Genomic DNA, 9,167 nt, shown 5'->3' with positions numbered 1-9,167 from the left:
GGCTGCACAAATATTTATTGAGCAGTTACTCTGGGCTGGGGTTTAAATGTCTTTGCTTTTGATCTATCCATTCCTCTTGGCTTTTGTGTACCCAGCCAGGTATGCCTCTCCCACCTCAGACAAGTATATCTGCATGTGGCCTCTACACACAACTCCTCATCCAGCCCATGTTCCTCCCCCAACAACTGGAGGGAAACTCATGATTCAACAGTAAAATTCCAGATGAAATTCTGAGGCTGGTCAGTCATGTCAGTTAATCTCTTGCTCATTTATCAGGTTCCCTCCTTCTCTGGCAACTATCCCTGTGATTAGCATGACAATTGAAGGTAGAAACTCCTGTTCATTTCTTCCCTTTCCTTGGCCCCATTCTAAATCTCATTTTGCTTCCATCTGCACCTCTGCTATCTGGTCAAGAGATAGCACTCAATATATAGTAAGGGTTCATTAATTTTTGTTTATTATCTTCACTTGCTTTCATTGTTCTTCCTCTTCCCTCTACATCCTTGTCTTAACTGAAAGTTGGTTGCATATGTTTCTCAATATCATAAAATTGAAGATTAGTTTCATTCTTTCAAAAAATGTTGAGAAACTGTAATATATTAGCCACTATGCTAAAGATGTAACTCTAATAGCTCCTGCTCCCAGGTAGCTTATGTTCTAATGAGTGAAATTCAGATAAAAAAGCAAATACGATAACTTAAAGTCACAATAAAAGTATGTAAGGACACAAACAAGAAGCTAAGACCAACAGATTTTGGGGTGATTGCAGAAGTCCTTTTAGAAATACAATTTCAGCTGAGACATAAGGCACGAGAAAGAGTTTGTCCATTTAAAGAGGGAGGAAAGAGCATTCCAAAAAAATATAACATAGATAAGAGTCCTGAGGTGCGAGGTAGTGTGGGTCTCTTCTAGAAATTGCATGACCATGACCACTATCGTGGCTGGAGCTTGGCGAGTGTGGAGAAAGTGCTTTTGAGATGTAAGTCAGAGAGAAGAGGAGAGACAGAATCGTGCATTTGGAATAGGAATCCATGGAAGATTTCAGGGACAGACTTATATGATCCAATTTCTATTATAATAAGTTCATCCTGGCAGGCAAGTGGAGAATGAGACAGGTAAGAAAGGAAGCAAAGGATACAAGTGAGGAAAATGCTGTTATTGCCTTGGACGGAGATGACAGGCTGTAGTAAGGGAGTTGCAGTAGAGGTGAGCAGAGAACACAGACTTTAGATACATTCATATTATAAATTGAAGAGACTGGATGGCAGGAGTGAAGCAAATGAAAAACAGAATGTTCCCTATGTTTCCAACTTGAATTGAGTGGGAAATAGTACCAGTTACTGAGGAGAGGAAGACACAGGAAGGGGAAGGGCAGTTTGGGGGGCTTTTTTAGAAGTCCGTGAGACATCCAAGGCAAGGTATCAAGTAGGTAATAAAAAGGAAATTCTAAAGCTCAAAGAAATGATCTAAGCTGGAGATATAAATGTGAGACTCATCAGCATACAGATGGTTTATGCATTGATGGGAAATGTTCAATTCATGTAACATTTCAGCCTAAAGAGAAGTTTCCATTGGCTTCACAACATGAAGATCTTTGATGACCTTGACAAAGTGGGTTTCAGTGGGACTGGGATAGAGGTTGGTACATGATGGCTTGGAGGGTGCATGGGAGATGAAGTAGGGAGAGCCTCAGTAGACAGTTTTTCCCCCCAAAATTTGGCTATGAAGTGGAGAAATGGGCCACTGGATGGCAATGGATATGGGAATGTGCATGTGTGTGTATGTGTGTGTGTGTTACATACCCTTTTTAAAATTGAGTGATACATATACCAGTACAGATTAGGGAAAGTTAATGATGGGGGAAATGGAAGAAGCCAAGTTTCTGAGAAGAAAAAAAGGGATGTGTGCAGCTGCCCTTTAATGGAAGCGGGGATATTCCCCCCATTGCAATAGGAGAAAGAGGATGAGTACATGTGTTTTTAAGTTGGTAGTTTCGGGGTTGGCAGATGTATGTGTTCAGATGTGATGTCTTCTTTTTCCTTAGAGTATAAGCAAGGTCATGAGCAGTGAGTGACTGTCAAGTTGGGCTATGATAAATTTGAAGAGAGTGAGTGAGACATAAAATGTTTGCGTAGTGGAGGGCAATATGAGTCTACTAAAGAAATGTGGTTGATTTTTGTTTGCCTGGTTTTTTGTTTGTTTTTGGCAGTGCTGACCAGTTAACTACCTTTGTGGTTTTTTCCATCAACATTTGGCTTCTTGGGTACAGGCACAGAAAGGTGGAATGTAGGATTTATTCAGAAGTAGGTTGTGGCAGATGACTACAGAGGTATCAGAGGACATGGTGAGATGTTTGGAAGAATCCTAGAGGTAGAGCTCCTGGAGTCTTGGTTTTCCCAGGCCTGAAGTTGGCAGCAGAGTCCCAGCCTTGGCAGCAGAGATTTTCTAGGGTCAGGAGGAAGGACTTGCATTTTCCTGGCTTCTCTTATGTTTTCAGACCTCTGTTCTGCAGCTTTCCTGGCAGTTCTGAAACAATTTAAATTAGAATTCCTTTACTGATATAGAACTTCATCTATATGCCTCCTTAGCCTTCCCATCCATTCTCTGAGGACTGCAGCAGTTTTCCTGCAGTCTGCCGCTTCTCTCTAGCCCATGTCATTACTCTGGTTGACTTCAATGTCCTTTCTGATTACCTATTTAACAACTGAATCTCTCAGTTCCTTAAAATTATTTCATCTAAGAACTTTCTGGTTTTTTTTACATTAATGAATTAATTTAATCACAAGTAGCTATACCTGGAGCCTTGTCACATATAAAATGACTCAATCTTTGAAATCCTGAATTTTGAAATCCTTTTTCTGCTTTCTTTTTCTTTTTGTAACCCATTCTTTAGCCTCATTGGACATCTGTTCTTGTGAGTCCTTGCTGTTCCTTTAGATTCTTCCTTTCCTCCCATCCGGATTTGTGAAAAATCACCCACCCAACATGCTCACCAATGTTCTTAGTCCCAGTAACCCAGTGATTTCCAGTAGCACCTGCCTTTCTCATCATGCACTCAGGAAAAACCTCCCATTTGTTGGCTGGTTTGTTACCCTTTCTTGCTCAGGGCTACAGAATGTGTTAGAGGAAAATCATGTAACAGTGGTAATTGCTTGAATTCCAGACATGGTTTCTACACTCAGCTGGCTCCATGATGCTGCCCTCCTCTCCATTCTCTCTGTCCCTCCCCTTGTTCCTCTTTTGTTATCTCTTGGCTAGACCATTACAACAATCTCTTCACTATTCTCCTTTAGAGTCTCTATTTCTGATATTATGTTATTTTCTTTTTCTAGGGATTATTTTCCAAATTGCAGATTAGATCACTCATTCCCTGCTTTAAAATCCCTGAGAGCAGACTAAGATTTAGAACATTAGGTAGAAGCTCTTTAGGGTTTCATTCAGGAATCAGTGTCCTTCATGATTTGCATCTAACCTACTTGTCTAGTCTGATTTCTCCACGTTTCTAACCCCTCCTCCCATTCCCCACTCCCATACACTACACCAGACCATTCTGTTTTCCTCTACCATACTCTGTATTCACCCTCACACTGTTCCTCCTGCCTGGAGTGAAAGCTTCTTTCTTCTCCTCATCTGTGGAACTCTTGTTTTAAGCTCTCAATCAAATGCCGTCTCACCTGGGGAGTCATCTGTACTTCCCACTGTGAGACAAAGTAGCATAGGTAAGAAGTCATATTTGCTCATTTCTGCTTGCCAGTGTGATTTCACAAAGGCTCTGACTCTGTGACCACATGCAGTTCTCTGGAGATATGCTTTGCAAACCAAACAGGATAGAGCACACGGTGTCCCACATCTCTTGCCTGAGTTACTATATATCTTAAAAGATAAATGACCCTAGTTCTTGCCTTTTCCTACGCGTAAGATAATGTCTGACAAAGTTAGTGATTATGCCTCTATAATCTATAACTGGATATACTCTTACACCCAAATGTATATATCTACAACCAGATATACTCTTACACCCTTGATGTGATTCCTCTTTACTGTAACTTCTGAACAAGTTTGATATGATTTTACACACACTAAACCTTCATTATCTATATAGCCCACTGCTAAAACACTGGGCTGGCGCAGTCTGATAGAACCTCAGATACAACCTCTCTAAAGGGCTGCTTCTGGGCTATAGGCCTCAGTCTATAGTCCTTAGTAAGACTTTTAAATAAAATTAGCTTTAAATCTTTAAAAGCTTGATTTTTTTTATCGGTGCATGGTGGCTCATACCTGTAATTTCAGCACTTTGGGAGGCTGAGGTGGGAGAATCACTTGAGGCCAGGAGTTGGAGACCAGCCTGGACAATATGTAAGACCCCGTCTCTACAAACAAACAAAGGAAAAATAGTCTGATTTTTTTTCTCTTTAGTTGACACCAGGTAAAAGAGTCATTCCTTCCTTTGTGTGCCCATGCATTTCACTTGCCACTAGAATTGTGCTTATTGCATTTGTTAGGTTTGTTTATGTATGTACCTGTTTTGTTTGCTCTGCTGCTCAACGCTTAAAAACTTCTTTTTTGTCATCTCTCTAGTCCTCAGAGTTTATCAATGTGGTTGGTATATGGTAGTTACTTGATACATACTTTTTGACTGAGTGATGAATGTATATATAATACTTTGGGGGCCAATACAGAAGGTAGCAGAACTTAAGGACATAGTTCCTGATTTCAAAACACTAACATAGCAGAGACTCTAGATCTACCCCTAAAACACACAAGACTGTAAGACAGACTAGGATGCAGTTAAAGTAATGGTGCAGACAGTGGGTCCACGAGGAACTCAGAGGGAGAGAAATTGTCATTGTCTGCTTAGGCTGCCGTAACAAAACACCATAGACTGAGGTAGCTTAAACAACAGACATTTATTTCTCACAGCTCTGGAGTCTGGAAGTCTGGGATCAGGGTGCCAGCATGGTTGATTTCTGGTGAGGGCTCTCTTCCAGACTTAAAAACTTCTGCCTTCTGTCTGTGTCCTTAATGGCAGAGAGGGGGCAAGCTCTCTGGTTTCTGTTCTTAGAAGGGCATAATTCCATCAGAAGGGCGCCACCCTGGTGACCTCATCTAAACCTAATTATCTCTCAAAGGCCTCATCTCCATAGTCCATGACATTGGGGGTTAGAGCTTTAACAAATAAATTTGGCGGGTGGGAACAGAAGACACAATTCAGTCCATAACGGAAGGTAAGTTTTGGGCACCGCTGATTTAGGTTTGGAAACAAAGACTTGCTAATTCAGTGTCCTTCATTCCTGGACAGATCCCTTGAAAGACATCTTCTCCCATGCCATCTTATTTCCTGGGATTATGTGAAAGAAGATGATAGCTTCTGTGGACATTCCCAGAGGAATAATTTCACAAAGTGGAGCTTGTATCTCACTTCGCAAAAAAATGCTCCTTCTCTTGTTATTTTTAGGTTGGATTTGAGCTGCGACACCCAAATATGTAGAAGGAACAAACATACAAACTGTATCTTAATGCATCTTGGATTTTGGATTTTCTTCTTTTTGCAGTTTAGCAGTTTCCCTCTCTCTGCTTGGGGAGAGAGAAAGTAGGGCTGCTGCCAACAGCTGAGCAAAATGTAGAGAAATGTCAACCATACACACAGCTGTCTCTATTGCTTACTCTCAAATACAGAACTGGGGCTGACCTTACAAGAGAAAAGAGTTTGTATTCTGTGGCTCAAAGGCTGCTGAGTAAGCTTCTCCTTCTTTTTCTTGTCCATTGGTATCCACTGTTCACTTAATTTTTTCCAAACACTCCCTTGGGCCATTCCCATGTTAAATTTTTCCTTTCCGATGATAACAATGCTTATTCTTTCACTTTTTTCTGCTTATAAAAGTAACAATGATAATTTACAGACGATTTGGAAAATACAGGAAAGCATAAAGAGGCCGGGTCCGGTGGCTCGCGCATGTAATCCCAGCACTTTGGGAGGCTGAGGCAGGTGGATCATGCGGTCAGGAGACTGAGACCATCCTGGCCAACATGATGAAACCCCGTCTCTACTAAAAATACAAATATTAGCTGGGAGTGGTGGTATGTGCCTGTAGTCCCAGCTACTCGGAAGGCTGAGGCTGCAGAATTGCTTGAATCTGGGAGGCAGAGGTTGCAGTGAGCCAAGGTCGTGCCACTGTATTCCAGCCTGGCAACAGAGCGAGACTCTGCCTCAAAAACAACAACAACAACAACAACAACAACAATAAAAAGCATAAAGAAAAATAAAAATCACTCACCGTTTCATCATCCAGAAATAACGGGTGTTACCATTGGGTGTATTCCTGTGGTCTTACATATCTGTGTGTACATATGTGTGATTTTCTTCTGCCAATAAAAGGGTATGGGCTCAAACTATATACACTTCTGTGTATTCTGCTTTTAGGCTCCTTTAATGATTTCCCCAATGCCTTTGGGGAAAGGACTACTCTAGTCCAGCATTCAAAACGCTCATAACCTTCTCCAACTGCTTTACTAGCCTTATCCAAACTCTTTCACAGATGGATGGGTTGACTTATTTGGCCCTCCCTGCCTGTGCTCTATTACTGCTCATCTAGAATTCCCTTCCTGTTCTCTCCATGTCCCAGAGTCCTGCCATATTTCTAAGCCTAGCTAAACCCCACCTTCTGTGTGAAGTTTCCCTGGAAACAAATCTGTAAGTGATTTTCTTTTCTTCCAAATTCTTCCAGACTGCTCCCTCCACCTGGTGCTTTCACCCAGATGGCTCAGTCTTTACATTTTTCAGGTGTTTGCTTTTCCAAAAGAACTTTCTGAGACTTCACAACTGTATTTTTATCCAAACACCTCTATCCCTCTGTCCTGCTTATTTTCCTTCAAAGCAGTTATCTTTATCTGATAGCTAATGTGTTTTGACTTTTTATTTTTTGATTGATTGATGGTCTTTCTCTTGCCACAAAACTGTAAGCTCCTTAAAAGCAGAGTTTTTTCCTCTTCACTGCTGTATCCCTAGACAGTGGAACAGTGTCTGCCACATAGTAGGTGCTCCACAAGTGTTTAAGAGAAAGGAGACTGGGGTGAGGCAGTATCTCATTGTGGCTTTGATTTGCATTTCTCCAATGATCAGTGATGTTGAGCTTTTTCTGATATGTTTGTTGGTCATATATGTATGTCTTCTTTTGAGAAGTGTCTGTTCATGTCCTTTGCCTATTTTTTAATGGGGTTGTTTCTTTTTTTCTTGTAAATTTAAGTTCTTTGTAGATGCTAGATGACTTTTGTCAGATGGATATATTTCAAAATTTGTCTCCCATTGTGTAGATTTTCTGTTCACTCTGATGATAGTTTCTTTTGCTATGCAGAAATTCTTTAGTTTAGTTAGATCCCATTTGTCAATTTTTGCTATTGCTTTTGGCATCTTCATCATGAAATCTTTGCCCATGCCTATGTCCTGAATGGTATTGCCTAGATTTTCTTCTAGGGTTTTTATAGTTTTGGGTTTTACATTTAAGTCTTTACTCCATCTTGAGTTGATTTTTGTATACAGTGTAAGGAAGGGATCAGCTTTCATTTTTCTGCATATGGCTAGCCAGTTCTCCCAGCACCATTTATTAAATAGGGAATCTTTTCCTCATTACTTGTTTCTGTCAGGTTTATTGAAGATCAGATAATTGTAGGTGTGTGGTCTTGTTTCTGGGTTCTTTATTCTGTTCCATTGGTCTATGTGTCTATTCTTGTACCAGTACCATGCTGATTTGGTTACTGTAGCCTTGTAGTATAATTTGAAGTCAGGTAGCATGATGCCTCCAGCTTTTTTTGTTTGTTTGTTTCATATTGTCTTGGCTATTTGGACTCTTTTTTGGTTCTGTATGAATTTTAAAATAGCTTTTTCTAATTCTGTGAAGAATGTCGGGGTAGTTTAATGAGAATAGCATTGAATCTGTAAATTGCTTTGGGGAGTATGGCCATTTTCATGATGTTGATTCTTCTTATCCATGAGCATGCTGGCAAGGTTGTGGAGAAAAAGGAATGCTTTTACACTGTTGGTGGGAGTGTAAATTAGCTCAACTATTGTGGAAGACAGTGTGGTCCTTGAAGACCTAGAGGCAGAAATACAATTTGACTCAGAAATCTCATTACAAGGTATATACCAAAAGGAATATAAATCATTCTATTATAAAGACACATGCACACATACAGCACTATTCACAGTAGTAGGTTGGAACCAACCTAAATGCCCATCAATGATAGACCGGATAAAGAAAATGTGGTACATATATATACATCATGGAATACCATGCAGCCATAAAAAAAGAATGAGCTCATGTCCTTTGCAGGGACATGGATGGAGCTGGAAGCCATTATCCTCAGCAAACTAACACAGGAACAGAAAACCAAATACTGCATGTTCTGACTTATAAGTGGGAGCTGAATCATGAGAACACATTTACACTTTGGGGGAACAACACACACTGGGGCATGTCAGAGGGTTGGGGTATGGAAAAGGAACAGCATCAAGAAGGATAGCCCATGAGTGATGGGCTTAATACCTAGGTGATGGGATGATCTGTGCAGCAAACCACCATGGCACATGTTAAACTATAATAAACCTGTACATCCTGCACACGTATCCCTGAACTTAAAATATAAGTTGGAAAAAAAAAGAGAAAGAAGGAAGAAATTAGTGCTTGTCATTTGGAACTTAGTATAAATCATGTTGTATTTTTCATGAATGTGCACATTATCTCCCATCAAGAACACAAGTACATGTTATCTATTATCAAGAATGTAAACCTCTAATGTATGGCCTATTTATATTTTCTATGTATCTCTTGTCCTTTAAGTTCTTTGTATAGTGTCTTGCATGTAGAGGGAATTACAGAATGTAAGCTCCATGAGGAGCTTTGATTTTGTCAGGAAATTTTGTTTTAACAAGAATCTTTATTTTATCATTTGCTGATATGTGCCAAAGAGAAATCAGGAAAGAGAAACTAGAATGGAAAAGACTGGTTCTCTACAGGGGTGGGGTAGAAAGAGGTGTAAGGCAGGGGAAGAGCAGTTGGGTTGACGAGGGAATGAAACCTCTGTGATTATGTATTTTTGAGTAGCTTTGACTTATAGTCATAGGAATATTTCATATACCTAAAAATAAACAACAATGAAAACCAACCAGGTTG

The 9,167-nt window shown here is 40.2% G+C and overlaps 1 long non-coding RNA gene across 2 annotated transcripts; it reads right to left on the bottom strand.

Moving 5' to 3' along the window:
• Nucleotides 1-2,264: 2,264 nt before the first annotated feature.
• Nucleotides 2,265-3,657, bottom strand: LINC02400 (long intergenic non-protein coding RNA 2400). 2 transcript variants are annotated; one of them, NR_135040.1, is made up of 3 exons: nt 3,581-3,657; nt 3,040-3,108; nt 2,265-2,526 (listed from the first exon to the last, which is right to left on the bottom strand). It is a non-coding gene; the product is annotated as a long intergenic non-protein coding RNA 2400 (long non-coding RNA). The 2 variants fall into 2 exon arrangements; NR_135041.1 differs by lacking the exon at nt 3,040-3,108.
• Nucleotides 3,658-9,167: the final 5,510 nt, after the last annotated feature.

Source organism: Homo sapiens, chromosome 12 (assembly GCF_000001405.40).
Source record: "Homo sapiens chromosome 12, GRCh38.p14 Primary Assembly".
In the NCBI taxonomy this organism is placed as follows: Eukaryota; Metazoa; Chordata; class Mammalia; order Primates; family Hominidae; genus Homo; species Homo sapiens.
The sequence above is the reverse complement of the archived record's forward strand: the minus strand, read 5'-3'. Positions and strand labels throughout refer to the sequence as shown.